Source organism: Homo sapiens, chromosome 3 (genome assembly GCF_000001405.40).
Source record: "Homo sapiens chromosome 3, GRCh38.p14 Primary Assembly".
NCBI classification, from domain to species: Eukaryota; Metazoa; Chordata; class Mammalia; order Primates; family Hominidae; genus Homo; species Homo sapiens.
Window position 1 is genome coordinate 11,820,006 of NC_000003.12, and position 27,261 is coordinate 11,847,266.

General features: G+C 43.1%; 1 protein-coding gene across 20 annotated transcripts in view; it reads right to left on the minus strand.

The window, feature by feature from the left end:
- TAMM41 (TAM41 mitochondrial translocator assembly and maintenance homolog) overlaps window positions 1-26,880 on the minus strand; it is a 124,990-nt gene extending 98,110 nt beyond the window's left edge. For 9 of the 20 annotated variants that reach the window (NR_135611.2, NR_158711.1, XM_017005725.3 and 6 more), the window contains exons 1-4: window positions 26,497-26,880; window positions 24,024-24,206; window positions 19,217-19,309; window positions 9,709-9,859 (exon numbers count right to left, since the gene is read on the minus strand). Coding sequence is in view for 10 of the 20 variants with exons in the window: in XM_017005725.3 (XP_016861214.1) it covers window positions 9,709-9,859; window positions 19,217-19,309; window positions 24,024-24,206; window positions 26,497-26,631 (562 nt within the window). In the remaining 10 variants the exon portion in view is untranslated. Of the gene's footprint in view, window positions 1-6,712; window positions 6,801-9,708; window positions 10,870-12,997; window positions 13,147-19,216; window positions 19,310-24,023; window positions 24,207-24,885; window positions 25,092-26,496 lie in introns of all 20 variants that reach the window. The other 11 variants (NR_158710.1, NR_104314.2, NR_158714.1 and 8 more) reach the window with 6 other exon arrangements.
- Between the last annotated feature and the right edge of the window lie 381 nt (window positions 26,881-27,261).

Below are 27,261 nucleotides of genomic sequence, written 5' to 3' on the forward strand. Positions count from 1 at the left end.
TTTAGGTGATGATTTTACTCTATAATTTCCCCCCATTTCCCTCACTTCTATAATGCTGGCATATTACTTTCTAGCATTTTAAAACACATTTATGGGATACACAGATGATGACGTGACAAATGTGAATGGAGTGGTGGCTGAGTTAACTTCCAACTGTGTAAATCCTTACACGTATAAAAATGGATTCCATTAATCTTTGAAGAGATGAAATGTCATCAAATTCTGACTCTAACAAGGCTGGCCCTGAAGTGAAAGATCAGTTTCTAAAACTGTTGAATTCTAAATATTTGTGTCATTCCTTCTTTCTGTACATTCCACAAACAAAAAGTTCCTCAATTTTAGACAGTCACTTTCTGAGAGAAGGATTTACCATTTTAAAATATCAAGGATTATGTTTTACAATCCAAATCTTCCCCCTAAAAGAACAATTGCATGCCATGATTAAAGGACCTAGAAAACACTCCAGGCTCTCGGAGAACAAGGACCGGGGCTTATTTATGTCTGCATCCTTAGCTCCTTGTGCACTGCCTGGCACAGGGAACACATACATCAATAAATGTGTGCAGAACTGAATTTCTCTCACTGGTGTGCAGCTGAACTAGCTCAACCGCAGGGGATAGGAAGCAAATGGGCTTATGACTCATTTCTTCAGAACAAAATGAATAACATCATGGGCACAGCACGAACCAGCATCTGATCATAACAATCAATTTTTCTTACCTTGGGAGATTTGTTTTCAACAAAACTACAGCAATGGATTAAAACTGACTGCTGACTTTATTTTATGCCTCTAGAACTGCCAGTACAATAGGCATCCAAAAGGATTTCTCCTTGACCTTGAAATGATACAAACTCCAAGGCCTGCAAGCCACCTGTAGGTGGCCTTCCCTGTGATTCAGGCATGCAGCCAGCAGTCAGGGACCTCATTACAAGTATGCAGATGTGAAGGGCTGCACAGTACAGCGGCAAGGCCCTGGCTTTCAAGTCTGGCAATGTCCCAGGGTGACTGAGGTCAAGTTACTTAAACCTTCTGAGTCCTTCACTGTAAAATGGCTTAATCACACTAACCTTACAAAGTTGCTTTCAGATTTAAGGAGTTAGGGCAGCAGTCCCCAAACTTTCTGGCACCAGGAAGAGGTTTTGTGGAAGACAATTTTTCCATGGATGTGGGTCCAGGGGACAGTGGTTTCAGGATGATTCAAGCACATTACATTTATTGTGCACTTCATTTGTTATTATTACATTGTAATATATAATGAAAGAATTATACAACTCACCATAATGTAGAATCAGTGGGAGTCCTGAGATTATTTTCCTGCAACTAGACAGTCCCTCTGGGGGTGATGGGAGACAGTGACAGATCAGGCATTTGATTCTCATAAAAAGCCTGCAACCTAGATTCCTCATATATGCAGTTCAAATAGGTATTGCGCTCCTATAAGAATCCAACGCAGCTGCTGATCTGACAGGAGGCGGAGCTCAGGCAGTAATGCAAGTGATGGAGATTGGCTGTCAATACAAATGAAGCTCGCCCACCACTCACCTCCCGCTGTGCGTCCTGGTTCCTAACAGGGTTCCCAAGGGTTGGGGAACCCAGAGTTAAGGTATTAGAGAATGCTTTGTAAGTAGTAAAGCAGATACTACTTATGATATGTATATAGCATAGTCGAAGGATGGAGGGTAGAGGAAGCGCTGGGTCTTGGAGATAATAATTACCGGCTAACTTTTCTCCCTTTAAACGAATTGCAAGACTGCTGTCATTTCAGTTCAGTGAATATCTGAGTGGCTACAAAGTACCAGGAGCTGTGCTAGGCAATGGAGATCCAGGTTGGGCAACCCTAATCTGAACACCGAAAATGCAAAATACCCCCAAACCTGGAAACCTTTTGAGCACTGGCAGGACACCACAAGTGGAAAATTCCACACCTGACCTCATGCAGTGAGTCGCACATATTATTAAAAATATCATATAAAATCACTTTCAGGCGATGTGTATGAGGTGTATATGAAACATAAATGAACTTCGTGTTTAGACCTGGGCCGTCCCCAGGATATCTCATTATATATGTGCAAACATACCAAAATCTGAAAAATTCCAAAATCTAAAATACTTCTGGCCCCAAGTATTTCAGATAAGGGATACTCAGCCTGTCCAGATATAGGCTCTACCTCAGGCAGCAAACAGTATGAAAAAAAGATCATTTCAGTGCAGTTTTTTATGTGGTAGTGTTTAAGGACTGCAGCCCAAACTGGATATTGATATGGCAAAATAATATTCATTTTCATGACTGTTTTTCAGATATAATTCACATACCATGTAATTCATCCATTTAAAGTAAATAATTCAGTATTTTTAATTCTGTTTACAGAGTTGTACAATCATCTCTCCAATCTAATACTAGAATATTCCAGCCTCCCTACAAGAAACCCCATACTCCTAAGTGATCACTCCCCAACTCCCTTCATTCCCCATCCCCAGCCTGAATTTAAACATTGCTGTCATTTTGGTTCAGTGAATATTTGGCTGGCTACAAAGTACCAGGAGCTGTGCTAGACAATGGAGATCCAGGTTGGATCTAATCTACTTTCTTGCCACAGATTTGCCTATTCTGGACATTTTATACACATTGAATTATACACTATCTGGAGTTATTTTTACGACCTTAGCAAAATGTTTTCAAGGGTCATCACACTGTAGCATTTATCAGTACTTCACTCCTGCTTATGGTTAAATAATAGTCCATCGTACAGATGCACCAATTTTATTTATCCATTTCTCAGTTGATGAACATTTGTGCTGTTTCCACTTTTGGGCGATTCATTATGAATAATGCTGCTACGTACAAGTTTTTGTGTGGACATATGTTTCATTTCTCATAGGTAGATATATAGGAGTAGAACTGCTGGGTCATATGGTAGCTATGTTTAACATTTGGAGGAACTGCCAGGCTTTTTTCCAAAGCAGCTGTACCACTTTACAATCTAATCAGCAATGTATGAGGGTCCCAATTTCTCCACATTCTCAACACTTGTTCTTGCCTTTCTTTTTTATCACAGCCATTGTAGCAGGTATAGAATGGCGTCTCTGTGATTTGTATTGATGTTTCCATTTCCCTAATACCTATGATGTTTAACAACTTTTCATGTGCTTACTGGCCATTTGAATACCTTTTCTGAAGAAATGGCTATTCAAATCCTTCTCTTGTTTTTAAACTGGATTGTCTTTTCATTGTTTTGTTGTTGTTGTTGTTTTTTTTTTTTTTTTTTTGAGACAGAGTCCTGCTCTGTTGCCCAGGCTGGAGTGCAGTGGCATGATCTTGGCTCACTGCAACCTCCGCCTCCTGGGGTCAAGCTATTCTCCTGCCTCAGCTTCCCAAGTAACTGGGATTACAGGTGCACACCACCACGTCCAACTAATTTTTTGTATTTTCAGTAGAGACAGGGTTTCACCATGTTGGCCAGACTGGTCTTGAACCCCTGACCTCAAGTGATCCACCAGCCTTGGCCTCCCAAAGTGTTGGGATTACAGGCGTGAGCCACTGCGCCCGGCCTTTCCATTGTGTTTTAAAAATTCTTTATATATTCTGGATACTAGTCCCTTATCAGATGCATGATTTGTAAACATTTTCTTCCATTTTGTTAGCTGCCTTTTTACTTTTTTTTTTTTTTTTTTTAGACAGAGTCTCACTCTGTCACCCAGGCTAGAGTGCAGTGGCATGATCTCAGCTCACTGCAACCTCTGCTTCCTGGGTTCAAGCTGTTCTCCTGCCTCAGCCTCCCTAGTAGCTGGGACTACAGGTCAGGTGTGTACCACCATGCCCGGCTTTTTTTTTTTTTTTGAGACAGAGTCTTACTCGGTCGCCAGGCTGGAGTGCAGTGGCATGATCTCGGCTCACTGCAACCTCCGAATCCTGGGGTCAAGCTAGTCTCCTGCCTCAGCTTCCCAAGTAACTGGGATTACAGGTGCACACCACCACATCCAACTAATTTTTTGTATTTTCAATAGAGACAGGGTTTCACCATGTTGGCCAGACTGGTCTGGAACCCCTGACCTCAAGTGATCTACCAGCCTTGGCCTCCCAAAGTGTTGGGATTACAGGCGTGAGCCACTGCGCCCGGCCTATCCATTGTATTTTAAAAATTCTTTATATATTCTGGATACTAGTCCCTTATCAGATGCATGATTTGTAAATATTTTTTTTTTAGACAGAGTCTCACTCTGTCACCCAGGCTAGAGTGCAGTGGCATGATCTCAGCTCACTGCAACCTCTGCTTCCTGGGTTCAAGCTATTCTCCTGCCTCAGCCTCCCTAGTAGCTGGGACTACAGGTGTGTGCCACCATGCCTGGCTAATTTTTTTTTTTTTTTTTTTTTTGTGACAAAGTCTCGCTCTGTTGTCAGGCTGGAGTGCAGTGGCACCATCTCAGCTCACTGCAACCTTCGCCCGCCCGGCTAATTTCTGTATTTTTAGTAGAGATGGGGTTTCATCATGTTGGCCAGGTTGGTCTCGAACTCCTGACCTTGAGTGATCCATCCGCCTCCACCTCCCAAAGTGCTGGGATTACAGGCGTAAGCCACCATGCCTGGCCTTCCTTTTGTATACATTAGAAAATACAAAAGTAGGAAGTAATAGGGAGGACTCAGGTTCACTATATTGGTTCAGGAAGGAAGCAGTATAATCCACTCATCAAATATTTACTGAGCACCTAGTACATGTCACATACTATTGGAAGCATCCAAACAGAAGGAGCAAAACAAGACAACAATTCCTTCCCTCCACATCCTCAGTGGTGGAACAAAGACCAAAGATCAGCCAGCCAACCAACAATAAGATACAGTGTAGCCGACTGTGGAAAGTGCTATGGGGAAAACACAAACAGGGAAAGACATAGGGAGTGGTGGAGTTGCAGTAGCAGTCAGGGAAGGCCTCCATGATAAGCCAGAACTGAGGCCCACTGGGGTGGGTGTGGGGAGGGGAGGTGTGACCCAGTGGGTCCTGGGGAAGGAGTGACCTAAGTGTGAACCAGGAGTGACGCCCACCACCAAAGACCTTTCATAGAACAGTGAAGTGTTAAGAGCAAGCATTCCAGGAAGAAGACTGCCTGGGTTCAAATGCTAGCTCGGCATTTACAAGCTATGTGACCCAGGGCAAGCCACTTAACTTATCTGGGCATCAGTATCCTCAAATGAAAAAGGGGAGCAATAACTAGTTTGTACATTTCAGGGACTGAATGAATGTTACAATACCTGACACACAGTACTAGTCTAAAAAGTTTGGGTATTGTTCATGCTTTCTATCCCTTCAGGAGTGCTGCGTTCTCAGAAATTAGCAAATGACTACTGAGTAACCTGAGTTCCGGCTGAGGCACAGAGAAGCAGGCTTCCAAAGTCCTGAGGCAGTCAGCTCCCATATGCTGATACAACCACACTGCTTGTAAGGTTTCAGATGGCTTCATCACCACAGAATAAATCTTACTAGCTTCCACTCCAGAGAAAACGTTTCTTTACTGGCTTCTACCAGAATCCAGAATCCACACTTTAGAGAGCTGGCACTGAATGCTAATTTTTTTCCCCAAGAATCACTCAACTGGCAACTTCCTCACTGCTTCGTCTTATTCCTAGAAGTAGCTGAGGCTGTGTTCAGACAATCTGGCAATTAAAGAAACCCATTCTCTCTCTCATAGGAGAGTGCCCGAAAGTGTTTTTCATTCCATGAGGACCTTAACCGGCCAGATGAAATGGGGCTGTCATGTTTCAATCCATCTGATCTAAGTACTCAGCTAATTTTTTTTTTTTTTAATTTAAGAAACAGGGTCTGGCTCTGTTGCCCAGGCTGGAGTGCAGTGGTGTGATCATAGTTCACTGCAGCCTGGAAGTTGGGATTACAGGTGTGAGCCACAGCACCCTGCAAATTTTGACAGGCATTGTTTGTCAATATGTAACAAGTTTTATAATTTTTATAGCTGACAACATAATTCCACTTTGGAGAACACATCCAAGGAAGTCAGTGCCTCCTTTGCCCCTTTCCCAACGAAAGTAATCTGTACAAAGTGATTCACAGCAGTGTTGCTAATAAAACAGTGAGAAATGGAGCTAATATAAGTGTCCATCAATCACTGGATGATTGAGCAAATAACAGTTTCTCAACCTGAGGAAAACCCATCTGACCAACAATAATACATAAAAATAATAATAACAGCAATCATTTTCTGAACACTGACTATTAATGAGATAAGATGCTGGAGGCAGCCAGGCGCAGTGGCCCACACCTATAATCCCAGCACTCGGGGAGGCCGAGGCGGGAGGATCGTTTGAGCTCAGGAATTCGAGACCAGCAGAAGCACACAGCGAGCCCCTGTCGCTACACAAACGAAATTAGCCAGCCGTGGTGGCGTGTGCCTGTGGTCCCAGCTACTTGGGAGTCTGAGGTGGGAGGGTTGCTTGGGCCCGGGAGGTCGAGGCTGCAGTGAGCTATGATCTCACCACTGCACTCTAGCTTGGGCGACAGAGTGAGACCTTGTCTCTCAAAAAAAAAAAAAAAAAAAAAAAGATGTTGGAAGCTATTATACGTATTATCTCATTGATAATTTCTTTGTGAGATAGTTATTTGTTTTACAAATAAGAAAACTGGGGGCTCAGAAAGGTTCAAGCTTGTGTTTCAGGAAATAAAATAATGAAAAACAAATAAAACAAAAAAGAAAGGTTCAAGATACCTTTAGAAAGCTGGTATTCAAACTAGTCCACCATGTACCAGATGAGTGACCTTAGACAGGGAACCATTCTGGGCCTCAGTTTTCTCATCTGTAAAATGGGGCAATGATACAGCACCCAAATCAAAAGGTTAATGTGAGGATTAAACTAGTTACCAAATTTAAAGTATTGAGAGTAGTCCTTGGCACCCAATAATAAAGGCTATTTTCCCTGCCATTAAGCCACAGACTTCAGTCACATCAGTCTACTGCTTTCCTCCTAAACACATCATGTTCTTTCACATCCTTCTTGCCTTTTTCACACGTGTTGTTTTTCAAGTCTACCACTGACTCACTGTGACTGCATGTTATTAATGTGAAGCTCCTTAGAGCAGAAATTCCATCTGCAGTTCTTCAGGGTATGGAATGCTAATTTGCTTGATAAATATTAAACCAAGGACCATTGCCTAAAATTAGTCATTTTAATAGTTGTACTGACATAACAAAGTTCAAGGTGACTCTTTAAAATGCATTTGGTGCTCCTTTCCTGTTCATTTAAATGCTGACTTCTAAGAAAAACTAGAGTTAGAAAGCTTTCTTTCTTTCTTTTCTTTTCTTTTTTTTTTTTTGAGACACAAGACAGTCTCACTGTGTCATCCAGGCTGGAGTGCACTGGCATGATCTTGGCTCACTGCAACCTCCACCTCGCCGGTTCAAGTGATTCTCCTGCCTCAACCTCGCAAGTAGCTGGGATTACAGGCATGCACCACCACGCCTGACTAATTTTTGTATTTTAGTAGAGATGGAGTTTTGCCATGTTGGCCAGGCTGGTCTTGAACTCCTGACCTCAAGTGATCTGCCTGCCTTGGCCTCTCAAATTGCTGGGATTACAGGGCCACCACAGCTGGCTGGGTTAGAAAGCTGTCTTAAAACAGAAAAGAGGAAAAAAAAAAAAAAAAAAAGGAGGGGGGTGGAGGAAAAATAATAAAAATAAAAAATAAAAAAAGATAAAGCTTTCTCCTTCCCAGTTTGCAGCCTCTCATCCTCCACCTACTCTCTTCTCACCCATAATTTATAATAATACTGACCTCAGGGCAGTCAAAGTAATCCTAAAATACTATATAAAATGTAAAGGATTGTTATTGCTACAAATAATACCAATCTCGCCTCTGCCTAAGTAATTACTGGCAGGAACTTGTCCAACAACATGGACAGACATGGTTTTTCTGTTCCTTCTCCTGCCCACTCCCAGGAAAAATACTGAACTTCACAGATTAGGGACCATATATAATCTCACAACTGGAAAAAGATGGACAATGCAAAGTTATAAATAAAAATGAGATTAGTAGACAATATGAATTTTGGCATATTCTCAGGGCTTCGGAGATTTGGGTGGTTTGCCAAGGGATAGAAACCAATCAATTCTACAACACTGGGTTCTCAGAAGCCTACAAAAGTCAGGAGGAAAATGTGCCTTTCAACACTTTGCCTGGGGTAGGTCTCATACCTATGAAAGAGATCTACCTACAGAGCCTATGTCATTTTCTACCTTCATTACTCTCTTCTTGTTCCAGCAAAAATCAGCTAAACTTGGTAGCAGCTTGAAGGCTAAATTAAAAGTCTTCAAAGAGGTGAAAGCAGCTATGTCATTTGGTAAATTTCCTTAGTAATATTCAGAATTTAGAAGGAACTCCCAGAATCCATCCAATGCTACGAAGATGTTGACTAGAAGGGAAGAAATGGAGGACTGGTAGTGGTAGGGGCAGAGTAGAGATCAGTCCTGCATCTTCTCCCACCAAGTCAGCTTTCATAAAAGGCTTCCGTTCCATCATTTTTCACAGGGGAGTATGGAAAGGTAATCACTCTAATAAAGTGACTTCCTTTGCTCACACAGTGTGCATGTGACCTGCTCATTCCAGCACAGGGCCACGCCACTCTTTGCCCCTATGTCTTTTGTTGGAAGGCAGGGAGGCTGCCAGGTGAAGCTGGAAGCACCCAGAGACCAAGGTTGCTTCAACGCCTTTCTCTACAGTGTTGCAAATACAGCCGTAGTCATGGTAGATGAATTTTGGGAAGATGGAAGAACAAAACCTCTAAGGTCTCTTACAGCATTAAATTTCCATGAAATCTTACCTGTCTGTACTGGGATTTGGAGGCTAAGTAAACTGCTTTTCCAATGTTCTGAGCATAAAGTTCTTTGACTCATACTCAAAAATCGGGAAAGATGATTTTTTTTAAGATGGTGGTTTTCAAACTTTTTAAAAAGCGGCAGAGCACTTGTTTTGTAAATGAAATCTTAAACGGAACCTTACTATAGTAAAAAGATAGATGGGGGCTCCTCTGGTTGCAGCGAGGGTGAGTGGCCAGGGGCTCTACCCTCTCAGTTGTCTCAGTTTGGGACATAATATGTGTGACCTACCCTCAAACAGTTTAGAAAATAAATATATATATAGTATGTTTACACATACAGAGAAAACAGTGGTTCTCAAAGTGGGATCCCTGGAGGGGCATCAGCATCACTTGGGAACTTGTTTCTAAAAATAAAAATTATTGGGCCCTACCTCAAACCTATTAAATCAACTGTCTGGGGTAGGGCCCACGAGTCTGTGTTTTAACCTGAGACTTCCTAGTTGTTCAGACACAGGCTAAAGTTTGAAAACCACTGATACAGAAACAATGAGAAAACAAATATGGTGCAATGTTAAAATTGGCGAATCTGGGAAAAGGGCATAGGGAGTTTTCTGTATTATTCTTGAAACTTTTCTGTAAGTTTGAAATTACTTCAAAATAAAAATTAACAAAAACAACAAAATTACCCTGGGACAATAAGCATGGAGATGTGGAGAGGGGACCCAGGAGGTAGGGAGGCAAATCACGAGGTTAGTGCAGGAACCACTCAAGAGTGACGTGATTTACAACTAAGACTGTAGCAGCTCCAGGGCCGAGTGAGAACAGGATATCCGCAGTCTTCAAATATAAATCTCTCCCTTGTAGAACATCTGGGCAGCAACCATACTAACCTGAATAGGAGAGACCGGCAATCTCTATGAAGAGGTCTTCTTCAGAAAAGCTTTCGGGGAGCATGAGGAAAGCAGCGGTCACAGCACTCTTCAGATTTCTATCGAGGGCTGATCTAAGAGTGACATCCTCGTTCACTGAGATAATTTTCACCTGAAAGAAGCAGAACATTGGGAAGAAAAATTCCAGAAGTGGAGTATTGCTCAAGCATGGGTTACAAATGCACTGGAACTATCTCAAACTCTCTTCCCACTGAAGATCTTGGAATACTGGTTCAGGTGACACAAAATTGTTCCTCTAATAAGTAATCCCAGAATCTCCTTGTTTTATGCCAAGGTCAAAGAAATCATGACACAGGAAAGGATCAAAATGCCAAAGAAAACAAATATTCTTCTTAAATGAGGAAATGCAGCATAGGTTTAGAAAAAGAGCAAAAGTCCTTTGGAAACTTTAATATTTTTAAATTTTATAATCTCACTGTCGTCACTTAATTTTTTAGTCGACAGAGGCATTTTACCTCTTTATTTAGACCTCATCTGTAATCTTGGACCATATCTAACATAGGAAGTTCATGCTCTATTTCGCACTTTCTAGATACATCGATTTTGAACTTGACTAAGGAAAAATGAAAGAAAACTAGCTACAGTAGAAAAAGAACGGGTTTTAGAGATAGGTATGGGCTCAAGTCCAGGTACTTACTAGCTATGTGAGTTTGGGCAAATGATTTGCATCAAAGAATCGTCACAAAGATTGACTATAATAATAAATGTAAAGTGCCTAGAATACTAGCAACTGCTTCGCTCAGAAAGAATTTTTCTCCTCAATACAGAGTAGAAGCTTCCATCTGAGACTTTCTGCAAATCCATTAAAATACAAAGAGTGACTGGGTGTGGTGGCTCACATCTGTAATCTCAGCACTTTGGGAGGCCAAAGCAGGGGGATCATGAGACCAGCCTGGGCAACATAGTGAGACCCCATCTCTATAAAACAAAAACAAAAAAAACAAACACCTAGCCAGGCACAGTGATGCACATGTGTGGTCCCAGATACTCAGGAGGTTGAGGTAGGAAGACAGCTTCAGTCCAGGTGGTTGAGGCTGCAGTGGGTTGCAGTGAGCCATGATCATGACACTACACTCCAGCCTGAAAGACACAGTTGAGACCCTGTCTCAAAAAAAAAAAAAAATACTAAGAGCTTCAGTCTGTTCTGAGATTCTTACTTTTAAAGATTGCACTGCAGTTAAGAGATGTGTTCAAATGCCAACTCCATCTCTTACTAGCTCTGTGACTATGGGCATAATTCCTTATCAGTAAAATGGAGTAAATAACAGAATCAAGCTCATAAGGCTGCTAGAAAGATCAAGTGAGTTACTGCACACAAACCCTTCAGTGAAATGAGCTTCCTTGTGTGTGCTTCTCAGTGCACAAGGCAAGAGCTTCTCTGGGCCAGCGGTTCTCATCTTTAGCTAGCATTAGCTTCACCTGGAGAACTCGTTAAAATGTGTATTATCGGATGCAACTCCCAGAGTTCTGTTTCAGGAGGCCTCGGTGAGGGCTGAAAAATGTACATTTCTAACAAGTTCTTAAGCAATGCCCAGGGACCACATTTTGAGAATTACTGCTCTAAGGTGCATACTTAGCACTGTCAAATTGCTCTTCAGAGTGGTTATGCCAATTTACACTCGTACCATGATCTTTTAAAAACATCATACTGTTTCTGATTGACTTTCTATACAAAGTAAAGGGTCTAGAAGTCCCTTAATAAGGACTCTCATATGTCTAAAATATATCTACCATCTCTAAATCTTTTGGTACTATCGACACATTTTCTACCTATTCTAGAAAACAGGGCATAAGTTGCCTTTTATTTGTCAAATACAGATAATTTCTGACAAAATTAAGATAGCACATAAAAGACACACTATGAGAAACTCCAAAATAAATATTAGAAAGCAAGGAAAGAGGAGAATGCTGCAGTATTCCAAGGCATAGCTTCTTCTCTTCTAATTGTAAAAAACAGTATTATAAAACATATAACTATTATTTTATAAATCAGGCTTCAGAATCTGAATTCTTTTACCTTTTTTCCCTACTTTTTTCTAAGGGAGTATTTGTAACATACAAACATCATATATGGTAGGTAAGCCACTTGATTCAATAACACCCCCTCCTCCCTTACAATTCTGAGGACTTAATGGACCTTAATTAAGCCTTTCAGCACTTAGGTGAGTTTAGTATTACTGCAATCATCTGCAGAGAGTAACCCATGACCAGCCAGGAACATGACTTGCCTACAGTTGCATAATGAGTTGACAACAAAAATCAGGATCACATTCTTTTACTTGGCAAATTCAGCTCTAAATATTCTGAATTATTCTCATGCATTCATTTAGGGTTATATTCTGGTTAACTTATCTTGAAAGATGATTAAAACAAATTTTAAGGTCCTATAAAAACACCTATGCTTATTCCTTGAATAACTTTCCTAAACCTTATAGAGTTGGCTCTTCGTATCTGTGGGTTCTGCACCCATGGGATTCAACCAATCACAGATGGGAAACATTCAGAAAAACAAAAAAAAAAAATCCACAAAGTTCCAAAAAGCAAATGTTGAATTTGCTGCCACATGCCAATTACTACGTTGAAGGCAGGCGAATGATGTGAAGTGTAAGCACGGTATTAGGTATTAACAGTCATCCAGAGATGATCTAAAATATAAAGGAGGATGTGCATAAGTTATATGCTAATACTAGGCCATTTTATATCAGAGACGTGAATTCTGAGGGTGGGTGCAGGTCCTAAAACCAATCCCCATGGACACCAAGGGATGACAGTATTCCATACTGAATGATTAATCTAGGAGGGCAACTGCTTCATCTTACTGACAGAAAACTTAGGCCTGGAGGGGTTAAAGGGGTTAAAAGATTTCTCCAAGAGAAGTAGTGGCGAACTGGACCGGGATCCAGTCCCAGGATTCACCCAGTGCTCTTTCCACAACTCTGTGATGTCTCTCTACTTCCACATTCCCGTTCTTCATCCCCATTCATCACACATCCTTCTCAATAATTCTTCACCTCTCTGTTTTTGATGGCTTTTACAGAAGCCCAGTGAAATTAGAAGCTATTTTGAGATGCTAACAATTCAAAGATGCAAAGAAAAGACTAAGTCTTGGGAAATTTTCCCAGTTAACAAAATACCACTTGTTCTCCAAGGAAGTTGTTCTACATAGGCTGTAAGAAAGCAGTCTGTTTGCTATTTAAGATTAAGAGGATGAAAATAAAAGCATCCTTACTCAAAGGAAAAATGTCAGTTCGGAAGATTCTGCTACTGTGCTGATCTGGTTCTTCAATGAAAGGTGAACTAGGAACTTGTCTCAGCAGCACTGTTATTTGTTGTTCAGAGTGAAAAGCCAGTGAACTCTTGGGACACTGCCAGAGAGGCCTGGGAAAAAAAGAAAGTGCTCAGATTTGTGAATAGCTGTTTGTATCTTACTGGGAATGCCCCGACCTGAACTGCATAGATAACATTAGCACGACTGCCAGGGAGGAAAATCTTTACTGTAGAGAAAGGGGCATTGGCTTAAAGGGACTTTCAAAGGAGATATTTGTGAGTACCTTTCAAGACAGGAAAAAAGAGAAACTCACATGTGGGCTCCTCTAAAACTGTCACAAGGAGAGACTACTTGAATTGCAGAGTGAAATTTTAATCACAAAGACCACAGCCCTACCTACTGTTCAAATACTCAACCGCCCACCAGAACTTTTCCATTCCAAACGACCAGGAGGTTTAACTCTTCTAAATAGTCACTGCTTAAGGATGAAGAAGAAACGCTGAACATTAGAGCTGGATGAAACCTTACTCAATATCTACCTGCTGGACTCTGGGCTCTTCGAGGACAAGCAACATGATATCATTTTTAAAAATTCCTTTGGCATACACAGAGAAGAAACAGTTGTCTTTTGAATAAAGAAATGAATGACTCAATCTGTGCATTTCAAACGCTAGCGGCCCAAACATTTGCTTATAGTAGGGCAGAGCCAAAACTAGTAAGCCAGGTTTTCCAACTCCCAGTTTAGGGATCTTTTATAGCACTGGGGGTTTTTCTATCCACACAAAAAATTAATCAACAAAGCTGCAATATGGTGATAGTTGAACTCTGAATATAGTAAAAATCATTGAATTGTACTCTTTAAATGGTTGAGCTGTGTGGTATGCGAATTTTATCTCAATAAAGCTGTTATTAAAAAATAGGCCAGACAAGGGGGCTCATGCCTGTAATCCTAGCACTTTGAGAGGTTGAGGCAGGTGGATCCCTTCAGCCCAGGAGTTCAAGACCAGTCTGGGCAACATGGCAAAACCCCATCTTCACAAAAAAATACAAAAATTAGCTGGGCATGGTGGCACGTGCCTATAGTTCCGGCTACTCAGGAGGCTGAGATGGGAGGATTGGTTGAGCCCGGGAGGTCGAGTAAATTGTGTTCATGCCACTCCACTTCAGCCTGGGTGACAAAGCAACACTCTGTCTCAAAAATAAAATTAAAATAAAATAAAGCTACATTACTAAAAGGCAAAATATATTGCAATGAATACATTAAATCAAAATCCTCTTAACAAGGTGGCAAAAAAACCACTGCATGTCAATATAAATGTCTTAAAAACTCAAGCACAATTATTTATACACTAAAAACAATGTAAAATACAAAAATCCAAAATTATGTTAACTAAGGAAATAACTATTAATTATTACTTTAGAGGTTTCTTGGCTTAAAAAAAGTTTGGTCACAATGCTATATTAAACACTTTAAATTCCATGATTTTTTACTTGGGAAAATATTAGTAAACTCAGAAACTTAAGGTTGTACTGGAAATAAAAATAGGGTATTCCATCAATTATGAGATAAGTTAATGGTAAAGTATGATAAAAATTTAATTTACACTCAACTTTTCCCAGAAAGTCCATCTTTTTAAGCAAGATACTCAAATATATATATTTGGAGACATGGTCTTGCTCTGTCATCCAGCTTGGAGTGCAGTGGCATGATCTTGACTCACTGCAACCTCCACCTCCTGGGTTCAAGTGATTCTCCTGCCTCAGCCTCCCTAGTAGCTGGGATTACAGGTGCGCACCACCTCGCCTGGCTAATTTTTGCATTTTTTAGTAGAGACGGGGTTTCACCATGTTGGCCAGGCTGGTCTCGAACTCCTGACCTCAGGTGATCCCCCTACCTCAGCCTCCCAAAGTGCTAGGATTATAGGCATGAGCCACCGCACTCGGCCTATATCCCTTTTAAAGACTTGAATTACTAGTGATTGAGGAATTCTATTTCAATTTGCAAGATGCAAGACAATTCTGGGGCTTTAGACAATGTAATTTAATGTGATTCCTTTTAAAACACAAAGATAAAGAATTCATACTCATATTCTCATAATTCTTTCTTAAGATATTTACCCAACTTTCTTGTCCAAGATACTACCACCCTCTTTTCATTAGATTTGTTCAAGTCTGATTAATATTTGCTGCCACCTAGAGGCACAGATAGTTTGTTTAAAAATCATCATTCTGGTTAACAGTGATTTCCACATGTTGAAAATTGGGAGCAAGGTAGAAGAGAGAGTTAATTTGCCCATTTATCATTCTCAATTAAAAAAAAAATATGTTCATCACTTTCAAATGACTTTATGATACCCTAATTTTCTTGTGCTAGAAGCATTAAAAGCCTTAGAAAATAATCATTGCTATCAGTAACATTTTCTTCTCCAAGTCAGCTGAGAAATGCAGAGTTTTGCATGAAATGAGCATGGGTGCTACTACTTGTCTTGAATTGCTGTTTTTGTTTTATAAGGATATAACAGTTAGATAAAACCTGAGCTCATTTCCAGTGCTTACATTCTGAGATTTCATGGCATTTCAGCTTTCTAAAGCCTTTTTTAAAATTTTGAAACATTCTAAGCATAAAGTATAATACAAAGAACAATACAACATTTTAACATTCAATTTCATTTCTATCTCAAAATAACTGAGATAAGCAAAGGCACAGAGAGAAGGCAAAGACCATTTTCTGAGTGTCTACTAAGTACCAGGCATTTCAGAACCCTCTGAGGTCAGCGCCATCAGACTCATCTACAGATGAAAACACCCCGAGGCTTAGGGAGACTGTCAGTGGTGCAGGGTCACAACATTAGGAAGCATCAGAGCTGGGATTCTAACCCTACATCTGTTAGATTCTGAAACACTGAGTTCTTCCCAGCAGTACTACTCTGCTTCCAATATTCCTTTTCCTTTTTTTTTTTTTTTTTGAGACTGGGTCTCGCTGCGTCACCTAGGCTGGAGTGCGGAGTGCAATGGCACGATCTTGGCTCACCTCTGCCTCCCAAGTTCCAGCGATTCTCCTGCCTCAGCCTCCCGAGTAGCTGGGATTACAGGTGCATGCCGCAACGCCCAGTTAATTATTGTATTTTTAGTAGAGATGGGGTTTTGCCATGTTGTCCAGGCTGTTCTCGAACTCTTGGCCTCAAGTGATCTGTCTGCCTCAGCCTCCCAAAGTGCTGGGATTACAGGCATGAGTCACTGCACCCAGCCCTGCTTCCAATTTTCAATACCTTTGTGGACCTTTATTCTACAGATAACTGAAGTTCAGAAAGATAAAACAAGATGCCTAAGTTTATGTAACAGCTAATAGGTGGCAGGACTGAATATGACTCAAGGCTTCTAATTTCATGTCCACTATTCTTCCCATCAAGCTATATATTATGTTTTTGTTTGTTTGTTTTGAGACAGAGTCTCGCTTTGTCACCCAGGCTGGAGTGCAGTAGCGCAATCTCGGCTCACTGCAACCTCCACTTTCTGGGTTCAAGTGGTTCTCCTGCCTCAGCCTCCCGAATGGCTGGGATTACTGGCGTGTGCCACCACGCCTGGCTAATTTTTGTATGTTCAGAAGATCTGGGGTTTCACTATGATGGCCAGGCTGGTCTCGAACTCCTGACCTCAAGTGATCCACCCGCCTCAGCCTCCCAAAGTGCTGAGATTACAGGCGTGAGCCACAGTGCCTGGCCCATCTTTTGTATATTTAAAACAAACAAACAAAACAAAAAACAAAACAAAAAACCCTTGGAAATAAAATATTTACAAATTTCCAACTGCTCAGTTATGAGCTTTACTAGTCATCCAACTTAGAAATGAGAAATGTATCTGTATAGACATGAAATTTCAGTAAGCCTATCATTTCTGGACTTTAAAAAATGTTTTTAATTAAAGTAAAAGTTACAGTGAAGTGCACACATCTTAAGGGTACAGTTTGATAAATTTGTCCATGTGTATACCTGTGTAACCCCTGCCCGGATCGAGTATTTCTGGACATTTTAAGGAGCTACACTATGAAATTGTAAGCCCAGGTGCAAAGCAGGAGAATCCAGACAGCCCATGCACATCAATAAAGAGATGTTTATGACACAAACCAGTGAGCTAAGGCTATGGAAATCTGTCATTTTTCCCATAGATAGCTACAGAAGCAGCACATCACTGTTGGGGGAGACACTCGAGAACAATCTATCGGCCTCTTGTGGAGCCTGGGACCCTCTCACGCACAGTGAAAATCTTCCTTATAGTAGGAAGTGTGAGATTAGCAACTGTAAATATTTAACACAGTCCTCAAACTATGGAAAGACCCTTTCTCAGAGCACAGACTGATTATCTGGAAAAAAAAAAAGAAGAAAGAAAAGTGACATTGCAAATACTTGTTAAAAGTTTAAGTTCTCTCCCACTTTTTTTTTTTCCTGTTTTGTGTTTGTTTCCTGTTTCTACTAAAGCCCAGGGAGAAGCCGACTCCCCACAGCCTCCTCTAGCTGTGTCCCAAAAGAGCTAAGACAATAGAGAAAGCATCACCACTGGCCTGAGAAAGAGAATAAAAGGGATGGGAACACCAGTCCCTTGGAATGACTACTTGGTGCATTCATTTATTCAATGGTTACTGAAGGATCCCACGACTCAGGCACTGCCCTTGGGACGCATCAGTGGACAAACGGTGCCTCCATGATACATGTCCTAGCAGACAAGGTGACTGGGTGGTGCTAAGGGAGGCTCCACTGAGGCACCAGGCACCTCCTCTGCCACCCTTCCCCCAAATGGGTCAACTTGGAGCCCGATCCAGTCATTGGAGAATCTTGAGGGGGAGGGCAGCAGGAGGGAGAGTGGACTGTGACCCGGCTTCTACTCCCAGCACTTCTGACACCAAATGTGGGTGTCACACCAACCAATTCTCCAGCCCTCCAGACACCAACTGAGTGTCCTACAACTGAATTCGATTCTGACCCTAGCTACCTGGAGTCAGAGTCAGATCCCACAGGTTATGGGCTCAGTTCCACAAGCCTCCCCCACTTCAGACACCAATCACAAGTCCAGGCTGCCTGTACTCTGATCGTTCACTTGAAAGGGATGGGGGCTACTTCCCCTCTCCTCTGGTTTCATAATTTGCTAGAATGGCTCACAGAGCTCAGGAAGGCAGTTTTTTGTTGCTGTTGTTTTTAAGACGGAGTCTCACTCTGTCGCCCAGGCTGGGGTGCGGTGGTGTGATCTCGGCTCATTGCAATTTCCATCTCCCAGATTCACGCGATTCTCCTGCCTCAGCCTCCCCCAGTAGCTGGGATTGCAGGCATGTGCCACCACGCCCAGGTACCTTTTTTGTATTTTTAGTAGAGACGGGGTTTCACCACTTTGGCTAGGCTGGTCTTGAACTCCTGACCTCAAATGATCCGCCCACCTTGGCCTACCAAAGTCCTGGGATTACAGGTGTGAGCCACCACACCCAGCCGGGAAGGCACTTTTCTTGCATGTACTTGGTTATTATGAAGGACACAACTGAGGAACCGCCAAATGGAAGAAATGCTTGGCAAGATATGGGGTAGCAGAAGGGTGTGGAGCGCCACGACTTCTCCGGGCATGTCACCCTCCCAGCACCTTGATGTGCTTACCAACCCAGAAGTTCTCAGAACCCCCTTTTTTTTATGGAGGTTCCACTGCCTATGCACAACTGATTAAATCATTGGCCGTTGGTGATTGGCCCAATCTCCAGCCCTTTTCCCCTCTGTGAAGGTGGGAGTGGGGGGCCTGAAAGGTCCAGCCTCTTATCACACGGCTGGCTCCCTGGCAACCAGCCCTATCCTGAATCTATCTAGGGGCCCATCAAGAGTCACTTTATTAGTATAAACTCAGGTACGACTGAAAGGAACTTGTTATGAATAATAAAAGACCCTCTCATCCCTAACACTCAGATATTCCAAAGATTTTAGGACCTCTGAACCAGGAGCCCAAGGAAAAAAACCAAATACATATTTCTTCTTATATCACAATAGAATATGTGGATATTATTTGGCAATAAATTTTATAGGGAATAGGAAGAGTCAGAAACTCATTTCTATTTCCAGAGTTCCATCTCATTGCAATCACAATGATCAAAGTAAGGTTAGGCTCAGAGAGGAAAGGCATCCTTAACTGTGCAGCCTATAAAACACTCACCGGTTTTTGGAGTCGTCCAGCAATGTATAAGTTATTCCAGTTGAGGAGATCTTCAATCAGAACGTTAGTGCTAATAACTCCATATTTGATAAGCTGAAGGAAAAAAGAAATGGCACAAAACGGAGTAAAATACCATGTTATTGCTTATACAAGTATAAAATATAAGGAAACAGATAAAATTCTTGACCAGAGCAGTACCTTGATTCCAAAGCCACTCAAAACACCTGACTTGTGAAAACACACATCTCCACCAAAACTTTTGAGAGGTTAAGTGTCCAAGACTGATTTAGCCCCTAGGGTATGTAAGGGGAGGTTGCAACTGTCTTCACAAGATTATAACAGAGAAGTCTAGCATGGCTGACTCCATCTTGCTGCCAGCCTCACAGGCTGGCTATCCAAGCTCATGCCTGGGCGTAGGTCAAGCCAACCAAGGAGGAGGAATATAGTTTATAGTTTAATTTTAAAGCAAGGATGATAATAGTCCCTCCCTAAAACTGTTCCCCTCCCCAGTCCAGAGCTGAAATCCCCTTTGTAAAACTAATGAAAGTCCACAAGATTAGGGTTATGGGAAGGGCCTGAATTCTGCTAAAATGTTGGGATAGTTTCTATGATGTCTTACTGCTCAGGAGACATGTGTCCAGAGGTCACAAGACTTGTGAGTTCTCCAATTAATCCTATAGATAACATCACTACTGTAGAACCTAAGGTTGGTCTTTTGAGATGTTTTCAGACTTTTGCATTCCAGCAACTGACTGACCCCACCCAGAACCATGACTCAACACTCAATTGGTCCTGTTGCCCCTCCCTCAGCAAAAGGCCCACTCAGCCCATGAGGACTGTTTTCCACACCTGTATGATTGCATCCCCAACCAATCAGCAGCACCCATTCCCTAGTCCCCTGTTCACCAAACTATCCTTCAAAAACCCTAACTGCCGAGCTTTCAGGGAGAGTGATTTGAGTGACAACACCAGTTCTCCTGTGTGCCCAGCCTCACGTTAATGTTAATTAAACTCATTTTTTTTTTTTTTAAGATGGAGTCTCACTCTGTCACCCAGGCTGGAGTGCACTGGCGCAATCTCAGCTCACCACAACCTCCGCCTCCTGGGTTCAAGCCATTCTTGCACCTCAGCCTCCTGAGTAGCTGGGATTACAGGCACGCGGTACCACATCTGGCTAATTTTTTGCTATTTTTAGTACAGACAGGATTTCATCCTGTTGGCCAGGCTGGTCTCAAACTCCTGACCTCAGGTGATCCACTCGCCTCGGCCTCCAAAAGTGTTGGGATTACAGGTGTGAGCTACCATGCCCGGCCTGATTAAACTCTTTACAGCAATACCACAGTCACAGTGAACCGATTTTGTCCATGCGACAGGCAGGAAGAACCCACCAGGCAATTACAAGGTGACCACTATTTCAACTTAGGTCCATGTGATGTTAAAGGTGGAATGGCTCTTAGATGCTATCTAGTATTGGTCCTCAGTGGATTGGGAGTAAAAAAAACTTGTCCTTCCCCAAAGACAGTTTGAGAAGTGATAATTTAGTTCATGTTCCTCATTTGAGAAATAAAAAACCTAAAGCTCAGAGACAACAAATGACATGCTCAAGGTGGCACCAGTAGTAGCAGAGTCAAAACTAGGTCCCAGAATTTCAGTCTGGTCTTCCAATGCTCTTTTCATTACAAAGTACAAGAAATTTTCCTTTAATTAGAAGTTTTCACTGACATGCTTTACATAGTGAATTTCTCTTTTGCTACTGACTATTTCAAACACTTTTGTAATTACAAAGCAATATCCAAAAATAAAACTTCTTTATTCATGCTAAAAAAAGAAATTATAGTTCAGCCCATTTCTATTTTTTTTTTTTTTTTTTTTTTTTTTTGAGACAGAGTCTTACTCTGTTGCCCATGCTGGAGTGCAGTGGCATGATTTTGGCTCACTACAGCCCTAACTCCCTGGGCTCCAGTGATCCTCCCACCTCAGTCTCCAGAGTAGCTGGAACCACAGGCATGCACCATCACACCTGACTAATTTTTGTATTTTTTGTAGAGACAGGGTTTCACCATGTTGCCCAGGCTGGTCTTGAACTCCTGGGCTCAAGCAATCCATCCACCTTGGCCTCCCAAAGTGCTAGGATTACAGGCATGAGCTGCCGTGCCCGGACAGTTAAGCCTATTTCAATAATAATTTGTATAAATCCTGTAGATTTCCCAGGTTACAAAGTCCCATTTGCATAAACAAGTATCTTCAGACCCACTTTGCTGAACCTCAGTATCCAAACAGCCTTCTCAGGCTGCAAATATATAAAAAGCAGTTAAAAATTATCAATTAAAAAGTAGTCTTTTGGCATATAATTATGCCCAAACATTTGGTTACTGGAACTTATAATATTCTTTGAAAATTACTAATTACAGGTAGGTTTGGCATAATATTAACTGTGGAGAAAGAACAAAGCTAAGTGTCCTGCATGACTCAAGTGGATGCAGAAGGCTGTGCTGAGTGTCAGCCTTTTCCCCCCAACTCCAGCAGCAGCACTGCAGAAAGCCCTTCTAGCTGCAGGCAAGTAACCACTGGGAGGTAACAGAAACACCACGGGCCTGGAAGTCAGGGGACCTGTTGCAAACTAGCTGCACAACCTTATGGAAGTCATTTCCTCTCTCTGAACTTCAGTTTCCTCAACTGCAAAATACAGGTGAAGCAAGGTTGGATCTCAACCGGAAAAGCAAATATATGGCCCAAGGGGTATGCAGACGTCACCAGTCAATCACAACACTCACTCCTTAGCCAAGTTCAGACAGACCTTCAAATCCTTCTCAAGTCAGTACTCCAACCTCCTGCCCTTTAAAGCGTGGGCCTTTGACCAATGGCATTGGCATCACTTGGGAGCTTATAACAAATGCAGAATTACGCCTGTAATCCTAGCACTTTGGGAGGCCGAGACGGGTGGATCACCTGAGGTCAGGAGTTCGTGACCAGCCTGGCCAACATGGTGAAACCCCACTCTACTAAAAACACAAAAAATTAGCTGGACATGATTACAGTAGTGGGCTCTGTAATCCCAGCTACTCGGGAGGCTGAGGCAGGAGAATCGCTTGAACCTGGGAGGCGGAGGTTGCAGTGAGCAGAGATCGCACCATTGCACTCCAGCCTGGGCAACAAGAACAAAACTCCATCTCAAAAAAAAAAAAAAAAAAAGCAGAACCTTGGTGGGGCATGGTGGCTCACACCTGTAAATCCCAGTACTTTGGGAGGACTGTTTGGGGTCAGGAGTTCAAGACCAGCCTGGGCAACATGGCAAAACCCTGTCTCTACAAAAAATACAACAATTAGCCAGGCGTGGTGGTATGTGCCTGTAGCCCCAGCTACTTGGGAGGCTGAGACAGGTAGATGGCTTGAGCCCGGGAGGCAGAGATTGCAATGAGCGGAGATGGTGCCACTGCATTCTAGCCTGGGTGACAGAGCCAGACCCTGTTTCAAAAAAAGAAAAAGAAAAAAAAAAGGCAGAATCTCAGGTTCCATCTCAGACCAACTGAGTCAGGATCTGCACTGAAATGGGATCTCCAGGTGGCTCGATGCCGGCCAAAGCCTGACCGCCTTGAACAATGAGTGGCAGAGCTGGCACAGCAAGTGAAACCCATATGTCATCCCTGGCCCAGGGAAGCTCTAGGAAGCATCTGATTTAGACCCCTACTGATCCTTGCAGGCTGGGGTTCTGCCTAGGTCTTGACAGCTCTCTTGGAGACTGCGATGCTTCAGCTGAAAGACAGTTCAGCAAAGTTCCTGCTGTCAGATGAACCACCAGCAGGAATCCATGCAACTTACCTGCTCTCCAACAGCCCACTGTCAAATTCCACGCGTCTCCTGGCACCAAGAGGTTCCCGTCTATCACCTGACACACATGCTCTCAATCACCTGTGATATCCTCTTCACTTCCAACTTCTTCCTGGGGGTGTCTGCCCCTCCTTCTAGATAAAATCAATCTCCAACCTGACCCAAAATTGGCCTGCCTATTCCTCCCACTGACCAGACCAATGGTTCTAGACCAGCAGCTTCAGCACTGTTTGGAAGTGTGTTAAGAGATGCAAATCTTCAATCCCTACCCCAGACCTAGTGATCAGAACTCTGGGGGTGGGGCCCAGCAATCTGTGTGTCCAATGGACACACAACCTAGGGGATTCTGATGCACACTAAAACTTGAGAACCACTTGGCCAAAGACAAAAAAATAAAGTCAGTGTGGCCGGGCTCAGTGGCTCACGCCTGTAATCCCAGCACTTTGGGAGGCTGAGGCGGGCAGATCACCTGAGGTCAGGAGTTCGAGACCAGCCTGGCCAACATGGTGAAACCCTGTCTCTCCTACAAGGTGGCACACGCCTGTAATCCCAGCTAACTGGGAGGCTGAGGCGGGAGAATCACTTGAACCCGTGAGGCGGAGGTTGCAGTGAGCTGCGATCACACCACTGCACTCCAGCCTGGGCAACAAGAGCAAAACTCCGTCTCAAAAAAATAAAAAAAATAAAATAAGTCAGTCACACCCAACCACCTCCTCACACTGCAATGACAGTTAATGGGACATGAGGAAGGACTCCAGTCCCTGCTCTGTCCCCAAGTTCAAGACGTCTGGCAGGAGTGTGAATGTTTCCTGACTATAAGAATATACATACTATAAAAACATACATATTTCCCGACTATAACAACGTCCAGCAGGAGTGTGAATGTTTCCTGACCACAAGAACATACATATTTAGCTGGCACTCTAATAACCCAGGTAAATAACCAGCCAAGTTAAGACAAAGGCCAGCAGTCACTTACCCTACCATTACACATGATCAATGAATTGTAGTAAACTCCAGCGCCATAGTTATTCTGGATGGACGTGATAATCTTGGGCCCTAAAACTTTTAGGAAAGAGTAGTGACTCCAATTTTTCTTCAGGTTCTTTGAATGCCATGCGACAGGGTCATCTACTGTGAACACAAAGTCCAGCATAGCATTCTGTGGAGTGAAGAAAAGAGAATAATTTCAGTATTAATTCCTAGAAAGGCAGCAAGAGAGCATGGAAAAGCTCTAACATACTACGCAATTATGATCAATAGTCAGAAGGCCTGGTGCTGTCATCAGAAATGTGAGCGAGTCTCTGGAACAAATATGAGCTTTGTTTTCATCAATGTAATAATAGCAAACACTTCTTTAACATGTATTGTTGTGCCAGCACTCTTTAAACACTTTATGGGTAACATACGCAGTCACTCCATTTATCCTCAGCACAACCCTACAAGGTAGCTACTGCTATTATCTCAATTTTATAAGAAACCAAGGCACAGGGGATGCTCTTTGCCCAAGGACACAGAGCTTGTGAGTGGCAGACCTAAGAGGTCTGGCTCCAAACTGTGTGTGCTGAACCACTGCACTACACTGCCTTTCACAAATGTAGCTAAATGTGCTCCGCTTTTCTTCTGGATCAAATTAGCACCACCTGGATAAACTCTACAAAATACTATATAAAAGGAAGTCAGTTATTTTATCTCTTACCTATTCACCAACCACTTATTGAGTACATAAGTAATGAACTCTGACAGGCCCTAGGGTAGAAGTATAGAGCTCAGAGTCTACTGGAGAGAATAAACAAATTATCACTACATTGACTTGATAGAGGAATGCAAAATGTACTAACTGCACTCAGCATAGGGATCAGATCAGGGGCACAGGAGGGAGAAATTCTCCTAGAGATGACAAATCTGAGTCTTGAAGGACACGTGAGTTAAACAGACTTGCTGGAAGCACTGGGGGAAGCACAGGGAAGGGTAGGGAGCCGTGTTGGAGGAAAGTGCTCTGTGGATATGGGAGCCAGCATGTTCTGGAAGCTGCCGTCAGATATGACTGAAATAGAACACATTTATGCGGTGGGAGATGAGATCAGAGAGGGAGGCTGTTTGCCATGCTAGAAAATTTTCCTGCAGAAGAGCTGACTGGAGAGAAGAGGGACTAAGGGGGTGGGGGAATTAGATCTGAAGCCATGGCAAGATTCCAGGGGAGAAATGAAATTATATTAGCTAAGGCGCTAAGGATGGGGACTGATGTGAGAAAGATGTAGGTGTTGGAATCTACAACTTGTTCACTTGAATGTAAGGAATCAAAAGTGAGGGAATGGGAAGGAAGGACCTTTTCTTGCAGGGAATTCCAGGTCTATTCAAAGGAAAACCTCCATGGAAGAATGAAGAGGTGGCCATCAGGAGGCTAACGCCTGCTCTGTAGAGTGTGACTCTACAGACCACTGGGGACACTTGAGATTTGGTGGCGAGGCAGGTATGGAATAAACATGTTTTTTAAAAATGTGTAATTATGTTAAGGTAAATTCGGGAAAAATAACTAGCCTATAATAACCTATAATTTCTCATATGCTGCCAATTTAAAGAAAAATATTAAATAGTAGTGTAAGTGGGAAACAGAGGAAATCCAAGCAACAGCATAGATGGCCTCACCAGGAAGTGAACAGGCAGGATGTTAATCAGAAGACAGACTACAGTCAGGTATCCAGACGCAGGGGGCCCCATTAAAACCTGCACACTGAATTCTGCAAATTACAAGGAAAACTGTACCCTTACTGAGGCTGTGCTGAGCCAACTCTGAAAAGTAACAATGCCTAGTCTCAAACAGACCGTTGTTAAAAGTGCTGAGCGAGGGTAAATACACTGGTCACGCACTAACTTTTGATGTTAGTTACTTTCACTGCACCTGCCCTGGCCCTACAACCAGTCCGCCAACTTCCTGAAGTCAGAAGATCATTTTGCATTTTCTCCTACATTTATAGAGGTGACTCTCAACAAACTTGGCTGCGCATTAGAATCACCTGGGACGTTTCTTAAATTCCTGAAGCCCAGGCCTCATCCCAAACCAATTAAATCAGAATCTCCATCGGCGGAAGCCGAGCATTAGGATTTTCTTAAAAGCTCCCCAGAAAATTCCGATGTCCAGCCGACTAAAACACTGAAAGAACCTGATAACGATTTCTTTTCCTTTCTTCCATTTGCCCCTGCAGCAGTTTTTCCTTCTGCCTAACTGCTTCTCCTGCTCTAGACCCACGTGGATTCCTAAGTATCCTTCAACACCGTCGCTTCAACTCGCGCTGTCGTTATACTAGGAAGGCAGGCCTATGGTTCACTCTGCTAGTGGACACGTGGAGTGTGCAGAGCGGACAGGCAGCTCTCCGACTCTGAAGGAATCGAGGGCAAAACGGGACTCGTGAGAACAGACAGTTCCCCGTCGTGGGGCTGCCCGGGCTCACCTTCTGGTCTGAACTCGGCCCTGCCTGGCGGTACACCCCGGAGCCGTAGACGAAAGCCAGACTCAGCTCCTCGGGGAAGTGAGACAGGATCTTGCGGAAGGTCACCCACGAGCTCTGCAGCGTCTGCAGCGCCATGGGGTCGAGGCTAACAGGGGACACTCAGCGCAGCAGGGCGAGGACAACCGGGCGGGGAACAGACACCGGGTAGGCGGTTTAGGGTGGGAAATGGAAGTCGGAGACTGGATCGAGGGACACAAGGCTGAGTGTGGGGTGGGACTGCAAGCACACGCAAGGATTGGGGCGTTGGGCCACGAAGAGCAGCGGCGAGAAGACGCAGCCCAGATAGGCTCGGGTGGGCGGCGGTCGCACAGGCAGAGCTTCCGTCCCTTGCTACGCCCCACGCACGCACAGGCGCTTCCAAGACGCAAGAGGCGGTGCTCGCCTTAGTGTGGGGAACGCGAGGCTTTGCATTGTCCCCTCGTGGTCGGAGGAGTGCCCTACAGGCTGGCGGCTAGGTTGCGACTTGGACAAATCGGCGGAGGCGAGCGTCACCCGACTCCGCGGGCCCTGAGCCTTGATAGCCTCTGTACTTCTCTCTTCAAACTACGGTTTAAAGAATGACTATAAAATCGGGAGCGTATTGAAGGTTTTTAAGTGAGGCGACACTCACATAATATGGAACTAGCCGTTCTGAAATGGACAGTGTAGTAGCATGTAGTGCCTTCACAATATTGTGCCCCCATCATCGCTCTAGTTCCAAAATTG